Genomic DNA, 26,455 nt, shown 5'->3' with positions numbered 1-26,455 from the left:
AGACTGAAGGCTTCAGTTGGCTTCCCTACTTTTGAGGTTTTGGGACTCTGACTGGTCTACCACTGGCTTCCTTGCAAACGGCCTATCGTGGGACTTTACTTTGTGTGAGTCAATTCTCCATAATAAACTCACTTTCATATTTCCATATATCCTATTATTCTGTCCCTCTAGAGAACCCTAATACAGAATTGATATTAACAGTTCTTTAGAACAAAGGTTCTTCAAACCTTTGTTAGAATTCTCCAGTAAAGCCATCTGTGCTTATAGAGCTTCATTTAGGAAATTTTATATTATGAATTCAAATTTAATTAATAGTTATATAGCTATTTAAATGGTCTATTTCACATTGGATGCTTTGTGGAGTGTGTTCTTCCTGAAGTTGGTTCTTTTCATCTAACTTTTCAAATTTCTGTGTGCAGAATTCTTCGTAGTATTCCATTTTTATTCTTTAGGTAACTGCAGGGTCTGTAGTGATAGTCGCTATTTTCTTCCTGATGCCAAAATGTTGTATATTCTCTCTTTTATTCTTTTTCAGTCTTAGTAGACATTTGTCAATTTTATGGATATTTTCAAAGAGGTAGCTTTTTATTTCATTGTTTTTTCTCTAATATCTATTTTCATCTTCACATGTTTCTTCTCATCTTTATTATTCCATTCAAGTAGATTTGTGTTTATTTTACTCTTCTTTTTCTAGATGTTTGAAGAGAAAACTTATATTATTTGGACTTTTCCTTTTTTTTCTAATGTAAACATTTAGTGGTTTAAATTTCTCTCACAAAACTGCCTTAACACTATCTCACAAATTTTGATATGCTATGATTTCATTTTTATTTAGTGCCATGCATTTTTTGTTCCCCTTCAGATTTTCTTTTTGATCCAAGAATTATTTAGAAATGTGTTATGAGTTTCTAATTATTTGAAAATTTTTCTGTTATCTTTTTGTTACTGCTTTTTAGGTTAATTCCACTGTGGCCAGAGAGCAAACTTTGTATGATTTCAGGTTTTTGGGGGATTTGTTGAGGTGAGTTTTATGCTCAGGATTTCATCCTTCTATCTTGGTATATGTTACACGTGCAGTCAGAGACTCTGTTCTGTTGTTGGGTGCCATGTTATATTAATATTGATGAATATTATTTTCTTTTGTTGTTTCATTTATTTCTAGTTTTGGTTTCAAGATAATAACAAGATATTTGGTTTCAAAATAATACTTTCATCTGAGATTGTCATGATGTTCCTTTATTACTGAAGCATACTTTCAGTGGATATATCAGTGGATATAGTATTGTTGAGTTCTACATTCTTGTTGATTTCTGTCTAGTTCTATCTGTTGTTGAGAGAGGGATGTTGAATTCTTCAAGTTTAATAGTACGTTTGTCTAATTCTCTTTTCATTATCATCAGTGTCTGCTTCACATAATATGCAGCTCTTTTGTCTGGTGTTTAAACATTTAGGATTGCAATGACTTCTTAGGGGGTTGATCATTTTATCAATATATCCTGTTTTTCTGTGTATCCAGTAATTTTATTTGCTCTGAAGTCTATTTTATCTAATATTAATACAGGCACTTCTCTTTTCTTTGGATTAATGATTGTGCGATATATCTTTTTCCATCCTTTAACTCTCAATCTGCTTGTATGGTTTTATTTGCTGTGAGTTTCTAGTAAATAGCATATAATTGGGTACTATTTTTAAAACTAATCTCTCAATCCCTGTCTTTTAATGGATGGGATTAGACAACCTCCATGTACATTAATTATTGATATGTTGGATCTTAAGCCTACAATTTTAACTTTTGCTTTCTGTTTTGCTCTTTTTCCTTTTTGTTTCTGTGTTTTCTTTTCCTGCCTTCCTGTGGGCTTCTTAAATATATTTGATAATTACATTTTCATTTACCTATAGTTTTTTTATAATTTTCTTCTTAGATTTTTAATTGACAAGTAAAAATGTATATATTTATTATGTATAATATGATGTTTTGAAATACGTATACATTGTGGAATGGTTCAATTTATATAGTAATTAATATACACATTACCTCATATACTTATTTTTTGTGGTGAGAATACTTAAAATCTACTCTCCTGGTAATTTTCAAGTATACTATACATCATTATTAACTATAGTCGCCATGTTGTATAAGAGATCTCTTGAGCTTATTCTTTTTGTGTAACTGAAATTTCGTGTTCTTTGACCAATATCTTCCCAATTCATCTCCTCCCATCAGCCCCTGGCAACCACCATTCTAGTCTGTTTTTATTAGTTGAGTTTTTTTGGATTTCATATCAAAGTGAGATCATGAGGTATTTGTCTTTTCATGCCTGGCTTTTTTCACTTTATGTAATGTCCTCCAAGTACAACCATGTTGCTGCCAATGACAGGACTTTTTTTTTCTTTTCTTAAGGCTAAATAGCATTCCATTGTGTATTTGAGTATATTTGATGGTCGCTGTAACTATTATGTTACATCTACATAACTTATCACAGTCTACTGGTGTTATTGTTTTGCTATTTTGAGTAAAGTGTGGAAATCTTACCTCCATTTTCTTCCTTTTATCCTCCTTCTATTGTAACATAATCATCTTAAATATTTCCTTCATATAAAGAACACATTAAACAGTGTGATATTTGTTGCTTTAATTATGAAGCAGAGCATTAGAAACATTAGAGGAAAAGGTATTATATTTATCATATTTTTCTCTTATCTTTGGTCCTTCCTGATGTTCCATGAATCCTTCTTTTATCTTTTCAGTTTAGAAAAATTTTTCTAGCCATTTTTTAGGTATTTTGACAACAAGTTATCTTGGTCCTCCTTCATCTGAGATGGTCATGAAGTTCCTTTATTACTGAAGCATATTTTCAGTGGATATATCCTTCAGAAGGATATAGGGTTCTGAGCTAACAGTTATTTTCTTTCAACACTTGAAAAATATTGTGCCATTATCTTCTGGTCATTATAGTTGCTAATAAAATATTTGCTACCTTTAGAATTATTTTTCTTTCTATAGATAATATTTTGTTTCCTTCTCATTTCTTTTAAGATGTTTTTTATTTTTGTCTTTATTTTTGAGAAATTTATGATGTATCTTGGTGGGAAATTCTTTGAGTTCAGTCTGCTGTTTGCTCAACTGTAGGTTTATGTTTTTGACAAACTGGACAAATCTAATATTCTCTGTCTTTCACTCTTTCTCTTCTCCTTGTGGAATTCCAATGACATGGATATAGATTTATTTTTAATAGTTTCACAGGTCCCTGAGACTCTGTTCCTTTTTCCAATCTAATTTTTCAGTCTTACTCATATTGGCAAGTTTTTATTGCTCTATATTCAAGTTTATAGGTTCTTCTTTCTGATCTCTGCATTCAGATGTTGAGCACATCCATCAATTTTTTTTTAAGTTGGCTAATATAATTTTTGGTTCTAAATTTTCCATCCTTTATATATTTTATATTTTTGCTAAGGTTTTTGATGTGGTCTCGCTCTGTGTCCCCACCCAAATCTCATCTTGAACTGTAATCTGAATTGCAATCCCCATGTGTTGGGGGAGGGACCTCGTGGGAGGTGATTGGATCATGGGGGCGGTTCCTCTATGCTGTTCTCATGATGGTGAGTGAGTTCTTACAAGATCTGATGATTTTATAAGGGGCTCTGCCCCCTTCACTCTGCACTTGTCCCTCCTGCTGCCTGTGAAGAAGGACGTGCTTCCTTCCTCTTCCAACATGATTGTACGTTTCCTGAGGCCTCCCCAGCCATGCAGAACAGTGAGTCAATTAAATCTCTTTCATTTATAAATTACCCAGTCTCGGGTAGTTGTTTAGAGCGGTGTGCAAACAGACTAATATAGTTAGTTCTCTATTTGTTAATGCTTTTTTTTTTCATTTCTTCAAGTGCATTAATGATTGTTTCTCAAAACATTTTTATAATGACTAAGTTAAAATCCTTTTCAGAAAATTCTAATACCTCTGTTATGTTAGTGTTAGAATCTATTAAATATTATATTTTTATTTTATTTACTTACATGTCTTTCTTTTTTAAAATAAAACTTGTTATTCTGAGCACTATGCTATGAGATTCTGGGTTTTATTTAAGCCTTCTGTTTTAGCTAGCTTCCTCTGACACCGCTCCAGCAAGAGAAAGTGGTGGTATAGAAGTACAGGTTCCCTGCCTGGCCTCTGTTGACATCTGAGATGAGGGTGCCTTGTTACCCTTGAGTGAGGATATTAATTCTAGTTCTCCTCCACTAGGCCGCTACTAGTACCTTCCTTTCTGGTGAGAGTAGGAATATCCCATTATTGTCCACATTTGACCTTCACTGACAGTAGAAGAAAGTTTGGAGTGAAAAAAAAAATGATGTCTTCATTATCACTGCGTGGTGGTCAAAAGTCTGAATCTCCTTAGGATCTTCTCAAGTACCTCCCTCATAAGGTACAGAAGGGGCACCTCATTACTACTGGATGGCAGTACTGAATAGACATCAAGTCTCACTATGTAGCCTCACTGACACTGCAGGTCTGGGGGCCTAATTACTACCCAGTAAGGTTGAAAGTTTCAGTTTCCTTCTAGGTTTTCTCTGACATGAGACCAGTTGTTAGTGGGGTGGGCCTGAGGGGGAAAGTGTTCAAAGTATCTTATTGGACTTTGTACAAATTAAAGTCCAGTATCCCTTCCTGGTTCTCAATGGTGTGGGTGTGGGTATGGGCGCCTTTTTGTGTATGTAATGTTTGGATGGAGAAAACCAGTGTAGTATGGACTGAATGCGAGAAAAACAGTTTAGTATGGACTGAATGCTTACACCTTCCTAAAATTTATTAGTTGAAGCCATAACCCCCAATGGGTTGATATTTAGAGACACAGCCTTTTTGAGGTAATTAGCTTAGACTAGGTAATGAGGGTTTGATATTATTTGGCTCTGTGCTCCCTCTCAAATTCCAACTCCAGTTGCAATCCCTATGTGTCAAGGGAGGGACTTGATGAGAAGTGATTGGATCATAGGGGCAGTTTTCACCATGCTGTTCTCATGATAGTGAGTTATCATGAGATCTGATAGTTAAAAAGTGGCAGTTTTCCTGATCTCTATCTCTCTCCTGTTGCCCTGTAAGACATGCTTTTCTTGTCCTTCACCTTCTGCCATGATTGTAAATTTCCTGAGGACTCCCCCAGCCATGCAGAACTGTGAGTCAATTAAACCCTTTTGTTAACAAATTATCCAGTCTTAGTTAATATCTTTATAGTAGTGTGAGAATGGACTAATACAGAGAATTGGTACTGAGAGTGCGGTACTGATACAAAGATACCTAACAATGTGGAAGCAAATTTGGAACTGGGTAACAGGCAGAGGTTGAAACAGTTTGGAGGTATCAGAAAAAAACATGAAGGTGTGGGAAAATTTAGAACTTCCTAGAGACTTGTTGAATGGTTTTGACCCAAATACTGATAGTGATATGGACAATGAAATCCAGGCTGAGGTGGGTCTCAGATGGAGATGAGGAACTTACAGGAACTGGAGTATAGGTCACTCATACTATGTGTTAACAAAGAGACAGGTGGCATTTTGCTTCTGCCCTAGAGATCTGTGGAATTTTGAACTTGAGAAAGATGGTCTAGGGTATCTTGTGGAAGAAATTACTAAGAAATAAAGCTTTCAAGAGGTAACCTGGCTGATTCTGGAAGCATTCAGTTGCATTCATTGACAAAGAGATTATCTGAAACTGGAACTTTTAGTTAAAATCAAAATAGAGCACAAAAGTTTGGAAAATTTGCAACCTGACCATGATGTAGAAAAAGAAAAAAAAAAATTGGGGGGAGAAATTCAAGCTGGCTGCAGAAATATGCATAAGTAAAGAGGAGTTGAAAGTTAATAGCCAAGACAAAGGGGAAAATGTCTCCATGTCACATAGAGATTTTTGAGGCAGCCCTGCCCATCACAGGCCTGAAGGCGTAGGAGAGAAAAATGGTTTCTTGGGACACGCTCGGGACCCTGCAGCTCAGTGCAGCCTTGGGACTTGGTGTTCTGTGTCCCAGCCACTCCAGCTCCAGCTGTGGCTAAAAGGGTCCAAGGAATGGTTTGGGCCATTGTTTCAGAGGTTGCAAGCCCCAAGCTTTGGTGGCTTCCATGTGGTGTCGGGACTGCAGGTCTGCAGTAGACAAAAGTTGAGCTTTGGGAGCCTCCATCTAGAATTCAGAGGATGTATGGAAATGCATGCATGTCCAGAAAGAAATCTGCCACAGAGGCAGAGCCCTCATAGAGAAACTTTACTCAGGCAATGAAGAGGGGAAATGTGGGGTTGGATCGCTGACAGAGTCCCCACTAGGGTACTGCCTAGTGTAACTGTGAGAAAACGGCAACTGTTCTACAGACCCTAGAATGGTAGATCCACTGACAGTTTGCACCATGCACCTGGAAATGCTGCAGGCACTCAATGCCAGACCATGAAAGTAGCTGCAGGGGCTGTATCCTGCAGATCCACAGGGGCAGAGCTGCCCAAGGCCTTGGGAGCCCACCTCTTGCACAGGGATGCCCTGGATGTAAGACATAGAGTCAAAGGAGATTATTTTGGAATTTTAAGATTTGATGGTTGCCCTGTTGGCTTTTGGACTTCCATGGGGCCTACAGCTTCCTTGTTTTGGCCAATTTTTCCCACTTGGAATGGGACTGTTATAGTTCTCTTTGTAGAGCTCTTTTACCTCCCTGGTTAGTTGTATTCTTAGGTATTGTATTCGTTTTGTGGTAATTGTGATTAGGATTGAGTTCCTGATTTGGCTTTTGGCTTGACTATTGTTGTGTGTACAGGAATGCTAGTAATTTTTTTAATGTTGCTTTGGTGTTGTGAGACTTTGCTGAAGTTATTAGCTAAAGGAACTTTTGGATAGAGACTATGGGGTTTTCTAGATACAGAATTATGTCATCTGCAACAGGGATAGTTGAACTTCCTCTCTTCCTATTTGAATGCCTTTTTTTTTTTTTCATGCCTGGTTGCCCTGGCCAGTACTTCTAATTCTGTGTTGAATAGGATGAGAGAGGGCATTCTTGTCTTGTGCCGATTTTCAAGGGGAAATGCTTCCAGTTTTTCCCATTCAGTATGATGTTGGCTGTGGGTTTGTCATATATGGCTCTTATTATTTTGAGGTATGTTCCTTCAATGCCTACATTATTGAGCATTTTCAACATTAAGGGGTGTCTTAAATTTTATTGAAAGCCTTTTCTGCATCTATTGAGATAATCACGTGGTTTTTGACCTCAGGTCTGTTTATGTGATGGGTCACATTTATTGATTTGCATATGTTGAACTAACCTGCATCCCAGGGATAAAGCTTACTTGATCATGGTGGATAAACTTTTTGATTTGCTGCTGGATTTTGTTTGCCAGATGTTTTTATGAGGATTTTTGCATCAATCTTCAATAAGGATATTGGCCTGAAATTTTCTTTTTTTGTTGTTGTGTCTCTGCCAGATTTTGGTATCAGGATGATGCTGGCCTCATAAAATAAGTTAGGGAGGAGTCCCCCTCCTCAATTTTTTGAAATGGTTTCAGTAGGAATGGTATCATCTCTTCTTTATACATCTGGTAGAATTCAGCTTTGAATCCTTCCATCAGGGCTTTTTTTTTTTTTTTTTTTTTTTTTTTTTGATTAGTAGGCTATTTATTACTGCTTCCATTTTAGAGCTCATTACTGTCTGTTGAAGGGTTCAATTTCTTCCAGGTTCAGTTTTGGGAGGGTGTATGTGTCCAGAAATTTATCCATTTCTTCTAGAGTTTATAGTTTGTGTATATACAGGTATTCATAATAGTTTCTGATAATTATTTGTATTCCTGTAGGGTCAGTGGTAATATCCCCCTCTACATATCTGGTTATTCTTATTTGGATCTTCTTTCTTCCTTTTTAGCCTAGCTAGCAATCTATCCTTTTTATTAATTTTTTTCAAAAAAACCACCTCCTGGCTGGGGTGTATATATCCATTTCTTCTAGATTTTCTAGTTTCTAGTGAGCACAGTGATGTTCACAATATTCTAGTTTCTAGTGAGCATAGTGATGTTCATAATATCCATTTCATCTAGATTTTCTAGCGTTTAGTGAGCACAGTGATGTTCATAATATTCTCTGATGGTTATTTGTATTTCTGTGGGGCCAGTGGCAATGTATCTTTTGTCATTTCCAGTTGTGTTTATCTGGATCTTCTCTTCTCCTTTTTATTAGTCTAGCTAGCAGCCTCTTTATTAGTTTATTCAAAAAAAAAAAAACAACTCCTGATTTTGTGGATCTTTTGAATGTTTTTCCATGTCTCAACCTCCTTCAGTTCAGCTCTGATTTTGATTACTTCTTGTCTTCTGCTAGCTTTGGGACTGGTTTGCTCTTGGTTCTCTAGTTCTTTTTGTTATGATATTGGATGGTTAAATTGAGATCTTTCTAATGTTTGATGTGGATATTTAGTGCTATACATATTCCTCTTAACACTGCCTTCCCTGTGTCCCAGAGATTCTGGTATGTTGCATCTTTGTTCTCACTAGTTTCAAAAAACTTCTTAATTTCTGCTCTACTTTCATTATTTATCCCAAAGTCATTCAGAAACAGCTTATTTAATTTTCATTTAATCGTATGGTTTTCTGTGATTTTCTTGGTCTTGATTTCTAATTGTATTGTGCTATAGTCTTAGAGTGCTTGTTATGATATTAGCTCTTTTCGTTTGCTGTAGATTGTTTTATGTCCAATTCTGTGGTCAATTTTAGAGTATGTGCCATGTGGTGATGAGAACAATGTATATTCTGATTTTGAGGTGGAGAGTTCTGTAGATGTTTATCAGGTTTATTTAATCCAGTGCTGAGTTCAGTTCCTGAATATATTTATTAATTTTCTGCCTTGATAGTCTGTCTAATATTGTCAATAAGGTTTGAGTCTCCCACAATTGTTGTGTGGGAATCTAAGTCCCTTTGAAAGATCCTAAGAACTTGTTTTATTAATCTGGGTGCTCCTGTGTTGGGTGTATATATATTTAAGAAAATAAGGTCTTGTTGAATTGAAACCTTTACCATTATGTAATGCCCTTCTTTGTCCTTTCTGACCTTGGTTGGTTTAAAGTCTTTTTTGTCTGAAATTGGGATTGCAACCCCTGCCTTTTTCTGTTTTCTATTTGCTTGTTAGATTTTTCTTCATCCCTTTATTTTGAGCCTATGGTTGTCATTTCATCTGAGGTGGGCCTCTTGAAGAGAGCATACTGTTAGGTCTCAGTTCTTTCTTCAGTTTGCCACTCTGTGCTTTTTAATTTGGGCATTTAGCCTTTTTATATTCAAGGTTATTATTGATATTTGTGGATTTGATCCTGTCATCATTATGTTAACTGGTTATTATGCAGACTTGTTTATATGGTTGCTTTAAAGTGTCACTGATCTGTGTACTTCTGTGTGTTTTTGTAGTTGCTGGTAACAGTCTTTCCTTCCCATATTTACTTCTTCTTTCAGGGGCTCTTGTAAGGAAGGTCTGCTAGTAACAAATTACCTCAGCATTTGCTTGTCTAAAAAGGATCTTATTTCTCCTTTGCTTATAAATCATAGTTTGACAGAATATGACATTCTTGATTGGGATTTCTTTTCTTGAAGAATGTTGAATATATGCCTTCAATCTCTGTTGGCTTGTAGGGTTTCTTATGAGAGGTCTGTTGGTCTGATGGACTTCCCTTTGTAGGTGACTGAATCTTTCCCTCTAGCTGTGTCTGCATTTTTTCTTTCATTTCAACCTTGGAGAAACTGATCATTATGTTTCTTGGGGATGATTTTCTTGTGAAGTATCTCTCTGGGGTTCTCTGAATTTTCTGAATTTGAATATTGGCCTTTCTAGCTTGGTTGGGGAAGTTCGCATGGGCGATACCCTGAAATATGCTTTCCACGTTATTTCCATTCTCCTCATCTTTTTCAGGGATACTGATATGTCATAGATTTGGTCTCTTTACATTGTCCCGTATTTCTCAGAGGTTTTCCTCATTCCTTTTCCTTCTTTTTTCTCTATTTTTGCCTGGCTTTCTTATTTCTGAAAGCCAGTCTTCAAGCTCTGAGATTCTTTCCTCAGCTTGCTTTATTCTGCTATTAAAAGTTCTAATTGTATTACGAAATTTTTTTAGTGTCAGCTCTGTATGGTTGGTTATATTCTTTTCTATACTGGCTATTTTGTCTGTCAACTCTTCTATCATTACATTGTGATTCTTAGCTTCCTTGGATTGGGTTTCAATGTACTCCAGCATCTCTATGATCTTTGTTTCTGTCCATATTCTGAATTCTATTTCTGTCATTTCAGCCATCTCAGCCTGGTTCAAAACACTTGCTGGAGAACTAGTGCAGTCATTTAGAGGAAAGATGGCACTCTGGCTTTTTGAGTTGTCAAGGTTCTTGTGCTGGTTCTTTATCATATTTGTGGGCTGATGATTCTTCAATCTTTTAAGTTGCTGTCCTTTAGATGGGATTTATTTTTTAATCCTATTTGATGACCTTGAGCATTGATTGTAGTATAAGGTGGGTTCAGTCAACTGACTGAGGATTTCTGGAGGATTTTAGGGGGACATGGCTCAGCTCACAATTCCTGGACTACATTCTCTAAATCTGGGTGACTGTTATCGGACCCCAGCTTTGTTCTCTGCCTCCTAGAGGTTAGGAACCAACCGTGCTGGGTTGGGGGCTGAGCTGTTCCTAGACTGCTGGTCACAGCACTCTGATGAGTGGTATTATCCGGAGCATTTCATGGGATCTATCCTTGTTTTCACATGCTAGCAGAAGTGGCAGTGGCAGCACAGTGGGGTGCATGCTCATCAGCTGCTAGCTGGTGCCAGGGTGCTGGCCTCCATGCAGGTGTTCACAGCAGCTGCAGAGGCAGCATAGCTGGGGTTCACAGCAGCTGCAGAGGCAGCATAGCTGGGGGGATGGGCGGTCCCTTCTGATGTCTGTGCATATGGTTGCCCTGGTAGTGGTGTTAGCATGGGGGCAGAGTGCTGGTGGGCCGAGGACCGTATGCTTCCTCTGTGTACATTTATGCAAGCAGAAGTGGCCACTCAGGGCAGGGGAGGTTCTGCTGTTCTCCATGCCTAGTTTCACTCCAGCATCAGTGTTGGTGCAGGGGCAGGGAGCTGGCAGGGGCTTGACTGGTAAGTTCTGTATTCTCTGTGCTCATAAAGACTCCCTCTGCAATGGCAGGTAGAAGGGGAAGGGTGGGGGGGTAGAGTACACTTGCATCCGCAGCAGTGGCAGGGCAGGGGGCATGTGCACACATGCATTGCTGAGGCAGGGAAGGCAAAATCCTCCCATGGACACACATGCCAGTAAAGCAATGTAGGTGGTGACCATGGGCCCATGGGAAGGGGAGAGAAGGGCAGACTGGTGTGTGGTCATCAGGGCCAACCCACTGCAGTTCTCTATTGGTCATATGTCCTCCACCAGTGCAGAAGCTATGATGCAGACCCTCAGTACTCCTAATGGTATATTGCAAGCAGGCACGGCAGAGGCTGGGGCCCCAGGGAAAGACAGGAGATCAAGGGATGCTCAGGTCAGACGGGCCCCATCTGATGGACAAGACCACCCTGCTGAGCTCAGCTCCAATAGTTCCCCTAGGACTAAAGTCTCTTACGAGAGCAAGTCAAGCCTAGGCGGATAGGTGTTCCTGGCCATGCTCCTCTATGACACTCTCACACCAAACCCTCTGGACTTTACACTGGCTGGCATGCTGTCTCTACCATTTCTTTAAGCAGATTTCCTTGCTAACTCAAGTATCCATGTGGTTGAGGGGTCTCATTCTGCCTGGGATTCCAGAAGCCTGTGGAGAGAATTGCTTTTTGTTAGTTCAACTCATCCTTTTTCCTAGAATCACTGTGGGCCAGGAATGAGTCCCAGTATGAAGTAGCCCCATACAGGGTTCCCAGCTTTCTCCCCCTTCATCCCAGCTTGTGTGTCTTCCCTCTGTCCACACTCAGTGCCTTCCCTCTAAAGATCTGTTAATAATGTGCCAATCATCTTAGTTCATTAGTTCCAGCTCTTTCACCTGGCTATCTCTAGTCAGCCTTCTTGCCCAGTTCCTGTTTTGTTTTGCGTTGTTTTGTTTTAATGTCTCTCTCATTGATGTTTCCAGCTTGCTGGCTTCTTCAGCCCCATTTATAGGTATTTGAGGCAAAAAAAAAAAAAAAAAGTAAACCAGGAGGAAGCTCATCATTATGTAGTGTATTAATCAATTTTTGCATTACTAAAAGAAATGCCTGAGGCTTGGTTATTTGGCTCACGGTTCTGTAGGGTATATGTGAAATGTTATGCCAGTATCTGCTTTTGGTCAGGGCTTTAGGAAGCTGACAATCATGGCAGAAGGCAAAGGAGAGCCAACACATTACATGGTGAGATCAGGAGCAGCAAAAAAGGAGGAGGTGCCACACTCGTTTCAATAACCAGATCTCATGAGAACGCAACCACCATCTTGAGGACACCACCAAGACATTTATGAGGGATCTGTCTCTATGCCACAAACATCTCACATTGGGGATTGCATTTTAACATAAGATTTAGAGGGGACAAACATTCACACCATATTATTCTGCCTCTGTGCCCTCAAATCTCACGTCATTCTCACATTGTAAAATACAATCACACCCTGCCAATAGTTCCCCAAAGGCTTAACTTTTTCCAGCCTCAAGTCTAACATCCAAAGTTTTAACTGGAGATGAGTTTCTTCCACCTGTGAGTTAAAGAACTGAGTTATTTACTTCTAAGACACAATGCCTATATAGGCATTGGTTAAATATTATCATCCCACAAGGAAGAACTTGGTCAAAAGAAAGGGATAACAGACCCCAGGCAAGTCTGAAGTCCAGCAGAAAATTAATTAAATATGAAAGCTCCAAAATACTCATTATGTCCCTCATCCAAGGCACACTGGTGCAAGGGGTGGGCTCCCAAGATCTTCAGCAGCTCTGCTTCTGTGGATTTGCAGGGTACAGCTCCCATGGCTGCTGTCACAAGTTTGAGTTGAGTGCCTGCAGCTTTATCAGATGCAGGGAACAAACTACTGCTGAATCTACCCTTCTGGTGTCTGTAGGGTGGCAGCTGCCTTCCCATAGCTCCACGAGGCAGTGCACAAATGGGGACTTTGTGTAGGGACTCCAACTCCACATTTCCCTTTGGGATTGCCTTACTAGAGGTTCTCTATGAGGGCTCCACCCCTCTAACAGGCTTCTGCCTGTGCATCCAAGCTTTTCCATACATTCTCTAAAATATAAGTGGAAGCCACGAAGCCTCCTTCATGTTTGCATTCTGAGCATTTATAGATTTAACACCATGTGGAAGCCACCAAGGCTTATTGCTCACAACCTCTGGAGTGGTGGCCCAAGCTGTACTTAGTCCCCTTTTGAGCCAAGGCTGAACCCTGAGTTACCAAGATGTAGGAAGCAGTGTCCTGAGGCTGCACTAGGCAGCAAGGCCCTGGCCCTTGCCCCAGAAACCCCTTCTTTCCTCTGGGGCCTCTGAAACTGTGATGGGAGGGGCTATCTCAAAGACTTCTTAAATGCTTTTCAGGTATTTTTTTTTTCATTGTGTTGGATATAAGTACTTGGCTCCCTTTTAGACATGCTGATCTCTCCAGTGGGTGGTTTCTCCAAAGTTTCTCCAAAGTCTGTTTGGATTGTTTCTCTGCCATATGGCCAGGGTATATATTTTCCAAACTTTTATGCTCTGCTTCCCTTTAAGTTCCAACTTAAAGTCAATTATTTGCTCCCACATCTAAGCACAGGTTGATAGAGCAGCCAGTCCACAACTTGAATGCTTTGCTGCTTAGAAATTTCTTCCACCAGATACTTTAGCTAATCACTCTTAAGTTCAAACTTGTACAAAAGCCTAAGGCATGGACACAATACAGCCAAGTTTTTCACTAGGGTGTAATACAGGTAATTATTACTCCAATTTCTAATAACCTCCTTATTTCCATCTGAGACCTCATCAGCCTAGACTTCACCGTCTATGTCTCTATCAGCATTTTTGTCACAAACATTTAACTAGTTTCTAAGAAGCTCCAAACTTACCCCTTTTTCCTGTCTTCTTCTGAGATCTACAAAATCTTCTAACTTCTGCCCATTATCCAGTCCCAAACTTGCTTCTACATATTCAAGTATCTTTACATCAACTCCCTACTCCTGGTACCAATTTTCTATATTAGTCAGTTTTCACATTACTATAAATAAATACTGGAAGTGAGTTAATTTGTAAAGAAAAATTTTTAATTGGCTCACAGTTCTTCAGGTTGTACACGAAGTATAGTGTCAGCATCTGCTTATGGAGAGGGATTCAGGAAACTTACCATCATGGCAAAAGGCAAATGAGGAGCCAGCACATCACATGACTAAATAAGGAGCAGGAGAGAGAGAAGGGGGAGGTGACAAGCTTTCTTAAACAACCAGGTCTTATGAGAACTCACTCACTATCACAAGGACAGCACCAATCCATTCATGAGGAATCATCTTTATGACCTAAACATCTTTCACCAGGCCCCACCTCCAACACTGGGGATTACATTTTAATGTAAGATTTGGAGAAGACAAACATTCAAACTATATCATGAGGTTTCTTGAATTCCAAAGTCCCTAACTGGTATGACTTTTTCTCTCTCTGTTTTAGTATTCTTACTTTTGTTTCATATAACTTTCATGGTTTTTAGTTGTACTTGCAGGGAGAAATAGGGAAAAGTACATCTATTCAATCTTCCCTGAAGTCATCTTCAGTATTCTAATTTTCAGATAATTATAATTTGACAAATAAAATATAACTGTTGACTAGAGTATATATTTAACCAGAATATTCCATTTACCATACTAGGTAATGAGTTTATTAAGTAATGGAAGCATCGCCATACTGAATAACAAGGTAATATTAACTAATATTTAATGAGTGTTCCTTGCATGTTAGGTATTCTGATACTTTTTTTACGTGAATTATTTAATTTATAGTATTTTATAATAACCCTATATGGTAGAAACCTTCGTTTTTCTTATTTTAAAGATAAGAAATCTAAGGCTTATGGAGGGTATGTAGCCTTCTTAAGGTATTTCATCTAATCTAGAAAAAGGGACAAACACCCTTTGAACCCAAAGAATCTAACTTCAGAGCTGGTGTTTCAAACCATTATGTTTGTTTACATGTGTTTCCTCTGCCAAGCAAGTTTGATTCCCTTTTCTCCACTTTAAAATCTCATCCTTAAATGATTTCCTTTTAAAACTCAGCCCAAATGTTGTGTTCCTTATGAAATCTTTCTTAAATTCTACCTGGTTCTTTTATCCTTTGTTCTCCTACAACTCTTTATCTACATCATTTCTATGTTCAGACATTTTCATTATACGTTTGGTCTGTTTGCCTGTTTCTCCCATTTTACTAGGATTCCTTGATGGGAGGCATTGTAGCTCATTCATGTTTATGCCCTCATTATCTGACAGTATTGTAGTAGGCACTCAATGACAATTTGAATAAATAAACAAGCCATACATTTATCAAACAAAACTTAGCAAAGTGCACAATAGTCTTGTGTTATAGAAAAGGGACCTATGACTAGTGAATTCTGCTCTGACAGTAGAATATAATAATTTGCATAAATGTACAATAAAGATTTACATTGCATATTAAGCACTTTGAAAATTGAAATAATGTGTAATATAAAGTATACTCTGTTCAATGAGTCTGAGATCTGTATGAAAAGCATGGTATAGTCGAAAACAATCGAAACCTTTGAAATCAGATATTCCTTGGTTTCAAATTCTTACTCTTTCATACTCTAGCTCTGTAAACTTGGCACAGTCATTGAAAATCTATGAGCCCCAGCTTCTTCATATGGAAAAATAGGAATATTTTCTTTCTCAATTTAATTATAAGGATTAAATGAGTTCATTGTGTGAGAAATCATTCTTTCAAAGCAACTTGTCATCTGTTTTCCCACTGACGGTTTTGCAGCCCTAAATTTGTAAGCCAAAGGGCATTTGCTCCAGAAGAATTTTCTATGAAATCTGATAACAACATCAGTAGCAACAACAATTTTCAGTTATAGTAGTTGTACTAGTTGTAGTATTGCATTCTCCAGTGAGGAGACCTAATGAGACTTAATTGGGCTCATTACTCATCTCAACTTGGTAAGTGGTCCTCTCATTTTTAATCACTTTGAATTGGATCACATCCAAATGGTAACTTGTGAGTTCAACAGTTTTGTATTCCACATATAAGTGAGGGTACGTAGTATTTGTCTTTCTATGACTGTTTTATTTCACTTCACATAATAAATTGCTATTTTTTCTTTTTTTTTTTCAGAGTTTTTTTCTTGGAGTCTTCCAGGTTTTCAGGATTACACCTATAGAAAGATGGAAACTGAGAAGGCTAAAAGACAGGTAGAGAGCAGAGCAAACAACTCTTTGTATTCTTCTGGCTCCTACTTACAAACGTGATACCCTAAGCTCTGCAATACTAATCGGCATTTATGGTTCAAGCATCTCTGTTGACAGAGAGAAATGGCAAAAATGCTATTACACACTGTTTGCTTTTGATGTTGTATTGGTTTCAGGAAGTCTCTTATTTCTACAGGTTCCTGACTAGATAATTGCCACAGGAGATACAAAAGAATAGAGGTCAGACTTTAAGACATTTTATTAGCATTATTTCTCTCTAAAACAAAATTAAATTGCTTTGAGTGAGTTAGTAACCTATGCTTGCATGCTAGCAAATGCCAGAAGGGTCAAGAATAAAATAACAGGTAGCTCATAAGTAAACAGAAATACATTTCCTAGAGCAATTTCCAGGACTGAAAACCAAATGAATTCAACCACTCTGATAGTACTATTACCCTCTAAGGAATTTATGTCCTGTGGTTTACATTACTCTTTTAAGAAATAAATATAATGTAAAAATAAGAATTTCTTCCAGATACCAACTATCATGAAGCATTTCAAATAAAATCTGTACAAAATCAAACATATTTTTTACATACCTATTTCTTCTCCAGGAATCCTCACATGCTATGGATTGAATATTTGTGTTCCTCCCAAAAATTTGTATGTTAAAATCCTAACCACTAAGGTAATGTGATTAGGAAGTGGGATCTTTGAGAGGTGGTTAGGTCATGAGAGTGGGACCCTAAAGAATGGGATTAGTGTCCTTGTAAACACAACCTAACTTCTTTGTCCACATTATGCCCTAGAAGATTGCCATCAATAAGGAAGCTAGCTCTAATCAGACACCAAATCACCTGGCATCATGATGTTGATCTTTCCAGCCTTCAGAACTGTGAAAGACAAATTTCTTTTGTGTATGAGTCACTCAGTCTATGGTATTTTGTTATAGCAGCCCTAACAGACTAAGACATTATCTCGCCTAATGACCTTGTCATAAAATCACTTTCAAGTCAAAATCTCAAATTAGATGTGTTTTTTAATCATCCTGTAGATCTAATTGTTCACCAAATCTGGCTGATTTCCTTTGTAAACCTTGCTTAAATTTACATGCTATCCTCTACCTGTAGAAACAGCAATTGAGATCAGGAATATAGCAAACCTCACCTGGACTAGTCTCTGAGTGAGAATCAAATAGTTGTCCTCAATATCATTTTTTTTTCTTTCTCCCTCAGCAACAGAAACTGAATTTTAGCTGGGTATGTAGCCACACAAAATAAAATGTTCATTTTCTAGCTTCGCTGACAGCTAGATGAAGCCAAATTCTTGAAGCCAAATTCTTGACAAAAAAAGATATAATTAGAAATGGTGTAAGCAAATTTTGGGACATGTCCTTAAAGGGGAGGTGACATACTTTTCTCATTCTTTCTTTCTACTGGCTAGAATACACATATGATGGATGGAAATGGAACAACAATCTTGGATCATAACATAAATGACAAGTGTTGAGGATGGTAATCTAATGATACAGAAAAAGTCTAAGTCTTCGTTGGTTGAGGAACCACTTTGATAACCCTAGACTAAAAATGTTTAAACTTCTTTTTGTTTCAATTACTGTTTATATTTAATCTTTTTCATTGGTAGCTAAACAAAGTTGTAAAAATCAGAGCCCCTTGACAGTTTTCTCTGCGTCACTCTTATTTCTCTCCTGAAGAGAGAAATGCTGCCATAGCCTGTGATTTCTGAAATATAAATGTGATCATGCTACTCTTAGGTTTAACATGTATCACCTGCAAAAAAGTCCACAATTATTATCAAAGAGATAAAGGTCCACTGTAACATAGTTCCTATCTCTTTTGCCAATCTCACTCCCACTACAGCACACTCATACCCTTCCCTTGGCCACTCTTTGTTTTCTAAACATACTATGCTCTTTCTTTATTCCCACCTTTTCTTAACCCTGCAGCAAGATAATCCTGTTGAAACTTAACTTAGATTCTGTCACTCTTGAGTTCAAAATGTCCAGCGTCCTCCCATCTCACTTAGAGTAAAAGTAAAAGTACTTGCAAAGGCCCTCACCTTAAGCCTTCTCTAATTTAGGAGTCCATTATATCTTCTTCAGCTTGTTTGCCTACTCTCTTCTAGGTGCTCTTTGCCATCTTTCTGTTCTTTGAACATGCAAGATACTCTCCAACTCCAGGGTCTTTGTACTGCTAGTTCTTTCATCTAGAATGCTCTTTCTTAGATATGTTTCCTGTCATATCACCTGTTAAGCAAGGTTTTCCCTGGCTACCTTATCTGAAATTATGATCTCCCTTCCCTTAACCAACTCAAGTACTCCTTATCTCACTTCATTATTTCCAGCACATATCACTTTATCATCCCATGTAATTTACATTGTTCATGATCTAACTCTTTCAACCCTTCCAAATATAAGCCTCATTATAAAAACAGATTTTGCCTCTTTTGTTCTGTGCTGCTTCTTCTAGAAAAATGTCTGCCACATAGTAAGTGCTCAATAAATATTCATTACTATTGACTAACTTTCCCATATTTATGATGAATTCTTGCCTTGAATATTGAATAACTCTATGAAGACTACTCATAACTATGTCCCACTTCGACAAAAATTCATAAACACAGTGCTTCCATAACACTTGGTATGTATTCAATATATATTTTAGCAAAAACAGATTATCAGATGATAAGTGAAATTTAAAATCATATACAATTTCTAACAGAATACTTATTATTTTTCTCAACAGAGATCTGTGAGAATTAATTCATCTTTCTATGTAATAATCTCCTATGCAGATGCTGAGTACCCTCATGTTCATTGAGGGTAATGTTTTTGTATTCATTGCCACTTCTGCTTCTGAAAGCCATTGAATGTGCATTTCATGTCTGATACTGGGCAAGCTATGGTCTGAAATTCTCCTGAATAGTGGCTTCTTTCATGTTCTGCCTGCAGTAGGAACAATGTGATAGGTGAGTGTTGGTTGTATGAGGGTGGAAAACATCTTCAATGACATTTATCTTATTGTTTTTCTAATTATGTATGTATCTTTATGTGATTTTTATATGTGTATATAATAAAATATATCAATTTTATCTGTGTAATAATGTATATATCTATTTGTTCCCTTATAGTATAAGCTCCTCGGGAGCAGAAATTTTGTTTTTTCTGAATATCTGCAATACACAGCAAAAATCATGTGCATTTAGGATCCATTTAACAACAAATGGCAGAAAACATAGCTACAAATTGGCTTAACTAATAAAAGGTAAGATGGATTCCAGACATGTGATGCTCTGCAAATAAGTGGGCTAAGTGGTGTCATCTAAGATCCAGCATTTTTCCATCTATATATATTTTCTTATGTTTGGAACAGCTTTATACTGAAGCTGACTCATCTAGTAGTTGCAACACAACTGCCAGTAACATTCAGATTACTAAGATTCCTTGTCCCTCTCCTCTAGGAGAGAGAGCTAGATATGCTCATAGATGAAGAAAAGAACATTCAGAGAGAAAATAATACTCTCCTCACCCAGCAAAGAAAATCAACCCATCCCTTCACTCTGATTGGTAAACTTAAATTACAATCTGAGCCCTAGACCAAAGGGAATGACAACATATTTTTTGTCATATGTCAAACATATGACAATATGTTTGATCAACATATTTTCTACAAATGGACAAGGCATAAACATCTGAAAAATTGGTGCTCTTGAAAGAAAAGAACAATGATAAATGTCGGAAAAATCAACATTAATTAAGCAATCAGGAGTGCTCACTAAGCACATAGGGGAATTCAGTTCTATTTGTTAGATGAATGCTCATTGAATACTGCTTGCTCTCAACTTGTAAATATTTAAGGGCTTTGTGGAAATTTCTCAAACAAATAATACTGATATTATATAACAGCATATTTCAAAATTATCTCTGATTTTCTTATATGTCCATTTATTTTAATATTCTTTTGAAACCATCATAGGTTATTTTAATACTGTGTTACCTCTTTCTGATTACTTTTATATAGAATACACCACATCACATCTTCAAATTAATGTTTAACCTATAAAATGTATATTTATAATTTTGTCTTTTTTCTTTGTAGAAAACTAAATAATGAAATCCATTTGAAACTTCTGTCTTCCCTAATGTCTTAACATGAATTCTAAACAGTATCCCCAGTTTTCAGTAACTCTTCACATTTGAGCCACTGAAGCTCTTACAATGCCATTGTTGGGTTATTTTGCAACATCAAATCTTTTCACATAGAACCTATTTCATCCTTGGCAAAGCCTCACCGTCTTGAAGATTCCAGTACCTGCTATAGCTGACTTGCTTGTTTTTAAGCTATTCATACATAAACTTAGGAACATACTGCCCTCTTACCCAGGAACTATAATGCGTTTTGCATGTTCCATGTTTACATGGTTACGTGGTTGTTGCTGCCTTACCTGTCCTGAATCCACATCTCAAGACAATATCAGACTCCACTTAACCCTATGTTATTAGGACTTCATCTTGACTCCGTTTACCTAGAGAATCCATATGGTGCTATCTTTCCTTGGAATTGAACTATGAAATGATTAATCCTTTTTTTTAGTAATATCTACAATTAAAAATAACTGTTGCAGTCAAGTAAAATGATCCCATAAAGATCCATATCACATACAAAGGACATAAAACAAACTTTTTTTTCCTTTTATGCATACAGAAATAACCTCTAATTTACCTATCAAAAATAACTGTGTGGGGGAATATTATACCTGAACAATCAATATTACTAAGCAAAGCATCACTATAATTCAATATTAGAATACGGAATGATAAAATAAAAGACATAGATGTATGAGACAAAAAAAGCCTAGGTTTAAATCCAGGTGATGACTCCTGTAGTTATATGTCCTCACGACTTATTTCACCTTCAGGAGTTCTTATATTAAAGTAGGAATAAAGTTATTCTACTGAATGGCTGTGGTAAAGGTTAGAAATATGTCTTTTGGAGGACATAAAATGGGTCCTGACACAGAGTAGGGAGAATCAAAGAATTTAGAAACCTCAGCTATCACCATAGTTATTATGATCAAGGTTATATCAAGCTCTTTTGAGAATTTACCTAAGTATTATTGATACAGTAGAGAAGCTTCTCTAGCATAATCCTTTAGATTTCTATCATAGATATCTTCCCATGATAAATCACATAATTTGTACCTTATGAAAAAATTATAACACAAATTATTTTACTTTGAATGAAAACACCATGACATTCACAATGCTAAGTACTACTAAAGTATTTTTAAAGTTTTAGAAGATAAAGTTTGAAATAAATGTAATAAAAAATAAAAATAAACCAGAAACATCATATGTGGGGAAAATTTAAGACTAAAGGTATACCAGTAACAAGTCATAATTTTTCATTGAAATAGTGATTAATTATCAATAAGGAGTTCAATGTTTCAGACTAAAGCTGGGAATAAAATAACAATTTCTTAATGAGTAAGACTCAAAATAATTCAGTTTAGAAATAATGATGGCAATATTGCCTGTTTCTTGGGATCCATGTACATGCCAATGGCATTTTACTGAGTCTTTCATGTTCATCACTTTCATAGTGCAACTATGAGACAGGTGCTGTCATCACCAGTGTACAGAAGACCGTGAGTCTTGGGAAATTTAAGTGACTTGTAAGGTCTAACAAGTGGTTGGTGTTTGGTTGGAAATCAGGAAAACGTGATTACTTTTAGTTACTGCACTTCACCTTTTCAGGTCAAATAACTGAACCAGTCATAGGTGGTTAACATAGGTAGGTTAGGATGCTTGGACAAGCTACCAAGCCAGATCAAATTTTTTATACATTATTTATATGAGGTAAATAATATGTGCATATGTGCATAGTCTCTCTCTTTGAAATGCCTATATGCTCTCTAAAGACATATTTTATAATTAAAAGTAGGCTGTCTTATCTTAGGCCAAATATAGGGATAAAACAATAATTACTAATTAATATAATTTTCTAATAGAATTTTTTACGTTGTTTGCCCATGAGTTGTGTGATATGTGTTTGCAAGTTTTGCCTGGATATAAAAGCATATGAGTGGAGAAGTGGTAGGATGGCTTGCAGGGAATCAGAATCAAGGATACTTTATTTCTAGTGGATCTAAGTTTGTTCAAAGGAAGTTATGGACAAACAATTGAGGAGAAAAGAAAACTAGTTAAAAATACATTATTTATAATCCACAAAGGAACAAAGCTAGACAAAAACAAAACAAAACAAATACAACATGGGCATAAGCAGGAAGAATTAAAAGTCTTTTCATTTTTTCCTTTTCTCTCCTCATACTACTATTAAGCAGTGAGTTTCTGTTCAAATTCAACACTCTTTCAAAAAACAAATGGTGTATTTCAGGTTTGCTCTTTATTCTTCTTTTTTCATTAAAATAGCACACATTCATTGAATGTCTTTTTTTTTTTTTTTCAAACTTCCTGGAATCAAGGCCAAGGGTTGACATTTACAGCGATAAGTGATCCAAGTGCTACATTAGCATCTATTTATTAAAGATGATCTTTCCTGTACAGTACAGCTAGGACATTTGGCCTAATTTACTATACTAACATTTCCAATTTGGCTTTGAGTAGGGAGTTGTGCCAACAGAGCTCTGTCCTATGGTGAAATAGTGCCTAATCAGTATTTATGAATAGGGTTTTAGAAGTCACTAAAGAGCACAGGAAGAGATTTTACCTTCTTAAAGCACAAATAATGCTGAGCTCTGGGAATCTGTATAGCACATTAGGATGGAATAGCTTTCTTTTAAAAAAAATGCAGTTAAAATGTGTAATGTAATACTGTCAGTGATTTAAATGGAGTGCACCTCTTTCTTTCAGACATTAATGCTATTTGTTAAACTTTGTAATTATTATGCAAATGAAGTGCTGTACTTAAAAAATGGCAGTGCCAAGAGTACAACAGAGAAAAACAGTTTGAAATTCAAACTAATACAAAATAACTTTCAAGCCTTGTAGAACTCAAATATTGTAATTTTTTCCTCCTTTGAATGCAGCATTTGGGTGAAAGCAATGAGGACTTGTCTTTGTTCTTAATACGTAGATAACAAAAGGCTTAGAGCCAGATATTTGAAAGCTCTGAGACATATTAGCTCCCTGATCTTCACAACAGGTGGCTGATATTTTTATCCCTCTTTTAAAGATAAAAAAGCCAAGTCCCAGAGATGCTTAACTCATTTGCTTGGGGTCACTTAAGCAAGCCAGTGACAGCCAGGGAAGGATCTGACTACTCCCCAACTTCAGGCTGCTATGAGAATCCCCAGACAGCAATCACTTGAAAGAAACAGCATTTATGGCTAAAATTATGATTTCAGAATATTAAACACTGAAGTAGTGCAATCTAGTTTCATTTTATGTCAGGTAGATATTTTTGGAAGAAAAGGAGTTTGGTTTCCGGAGAATTAGCTCCTGACAGGTAAATGTCTGTGAGCTGCTGAGCAGCCTATACATGAAGAAAGCAAACGTTATGAAGAAAGTGAGCAATTTTACACATATTTTTATCTCCAGCACCTGTTTCTATGCCTGACAGCATACGCAGTCAAAAATATTTGTTGAATCAAGGATTGAATGAATGCATGGCCATTTGTAACTTACTTTCCACTCACATTGTCTCATTTTCCTTTCAGTTACTTTCTCCACCACGACTTCCCAGGTCTGCAAAACAGATAATTGAACAACAAAAACAGTTTTACCTTCCTCTAGAAATTATTCTTTTCCCAGACTATTTTCTTACACTTAAACCTGAACCAACTTTTTTTTTTTTATATTTCATCTTTAGAGCTTTGATTTTTGCTTGAGATAATCTTACAAAGAAACTAAGGATTTGGCCTGTTGATAGCAGTGTGTTGTCCTCTTTAGGTGATTCTCTTTGCATTTTAAAAGGAAACCTATATGTTCTTAATCCAAAAGAGTAAGAAACAAAAACTCAAATGCATTGTTGACATTTCTCAGAGACAGTGGGAGAACTGGTAATGACCAGCATTTTTGAGCTTTGGTGAAAGACAATGACAGTCAATATATGACAATAGAAGCTGAAAATGTCAGCATCTTGATATCCCAGTGCTCATTGTGGCTAGAGTATGGATGTGTGACATTGGTTCAACAAGACACTCCTTACCCCACTTTAACGTCAACTTAGGAAATATGAAGCAAAGAATCAGAGACACTGAGAGGCTCATATTAGTGGAAGGCTGCAGTTGAAGAGGCAGCTATCTGAGTTTTCAGGGTAGCAGTGGCCAAAAGCAAAGACAGCGTTCAATGCCAGTGGTCATGGTAGGGATGCAAGCTCCGTCATCAAGTGGTTGATGATAGCAGCAATGTTATCTTCACAGGACTAGTTCTGTGGCATAATTGTGCCTAGGGTCTTGGGAGCTGTTTTTGTTCCTGCTGTTTTTCCATGGCTCAATCTGCAGCCTTGCTAACGATTCTTTGAGGTATCTCATATCCTTTAAAATAAATTTAATTAGTCAGTTTCTGCTGCTTACAATCAAGAATCTGCGCACCATATCAAAGCCAGCAGGGAAGTGAGGTATGGGCTGTATTATTGTGTTTGAGATACTCTGGGGGAAGATCAGGAATATTGATGCATTTGCAAAAGACTTTAAATGTTGGTTTCAGATTCTTGACGCTGCCAATTTACCACTAGTGTGATCTTGTTGAGAAAGTTACTAAACCTTACCCTTCTCACAGATGCAAATGGAAATAATACTATCTATAGTGAAGGCCAGTTGTAAAGACTGAGAAAATGTGTAACGTGATCCAGAACCAGGGCTGGCATATGGGGGACAACGAAGAATCTATTTTATCTTTATTATTTCATCATATATGTAAATTGCCTATACTCTCCCACCTACGACGTGAGCTTTCTGGCCTAGACGCTACGAGATATAAAGACAAAAGGAGTATACAGAAATTAACTCCACATGTTTCTAAAAAGGCAAATAGAAAGAAACCAAATATATGCACATGGGACGTTGGGTTACAGGCTAAACTTATGATTATGGACATTTACTGCTCACATTAGCTATAAGATGAGGTATTACACAATAAAATCCAGAGACGAGGTCTTAAACATGATACGGTTTACTTCATCTCAGGAGTATTATTTCAGTTGTTTAAAGAAAAAAAATAGGAGGCCAACACTTGCTAGTTTGATTAGGAAAGCTTGTATTCTCAAAAGGTATCTAACTGACAAATAGCAGCAGCTTAAAATAAAGGCCCTGAACTATTGTTTCATGTCCATTATTGCTCCAATGGCATGATTGTGACTTTCCTGATATGGAAGAGAAGAGTATTTTGTTTGGTTCTTTTGCTGGATTTTCTGCATAACCCTAGTTACACTGTCTTCTGAGACCGCACAGAATTGTTGAAGGCTTAGGCATCACCAGTGTGTCACTGGGAAAGTAATTAACTCTTTCAGGACTCCATTCTTTTCACTGCTAAAATGGGCATTATGTTTTCTCTCTCGGGTTATCATGAGAATTAAATGAGATCATGCATACAAAGTTCTGGGTATGTCTGGCACACTTTTTAAAAAACAGCTGCACTCACAAAGTGAGATGCTCCCTTCACTTTTAGTCCAATAAAATGCATATTCATAGAGAATCAGGTCACATTATTTCTGCATGACAGGTTTCTGCAGGGACATGGGTTTGCCAAATTCACCAGCTGTCTTCACATCTTCCCATTCCCATGAGATTTCTGCACATTTTTCCTGTCCTTTTAGTGGCTCCCCAGAGACAGGCTTCCTTAGGGAGGAATCAGGGTGTAGGCGAATGCTCCATTAATTTTCTTGTTGGCATTTTACAGCCAGTGGTGTGGATGACCCAAGAGCAGCCAGGATGGGAGACAGCTAGACAGAGCCTGCAAGCCCCTCTGGAATACTTTCACTATCAGAACACAATGAATGACAAACCTTTAAAAACTCCTATGAGTTACAGAGAAAGCTTCCAGTGAAGATGGTAGTATTGGCTGAGTCTAGGAAATGGAAGAAAGGAAAAACAGAACAGCAGGAG

The 26,455-nt window shown here is 37.1% G+C and overlaps 1 annotated feature.

Annotated features, from left to right (window-relative positions):
- Positions 10,889-11,389: an enhancer, noted in NCBI's record as "H3K4me1 hESC enhancer chr9:25427602-25428102 (GRCh37/hg19 assembly coordinates)". NCBI's record gives its function as "activates a minimal SCP1, AML or CMV promoter by ChIP-STARR-seq in primed H9 embryonic stem cells {active_cell/tissue: H9 hESC(primed)}" and the evidence as "EXISTENCE:reporter gene assay evidence [ECO:0000049][PMID:30033119]".

Source organism: Homo sapiens, chromosome 9 (assembly GCF_000001405.40).
Source record: "Homo sapiens chromosome 9, GRCh38.p14 Primary Assembly".
Taxonomy (NCBI): Eukaryota; Metazoa; Chordata; class Mammalia; order Primates; family Hominidae; genus Homo; species Homo sapiens.
The sequence above is the reverse complement of the archived record's forward strand: the minus strand, read 5'-3'. Positions and strand labels throughout refer to the sequence as shown.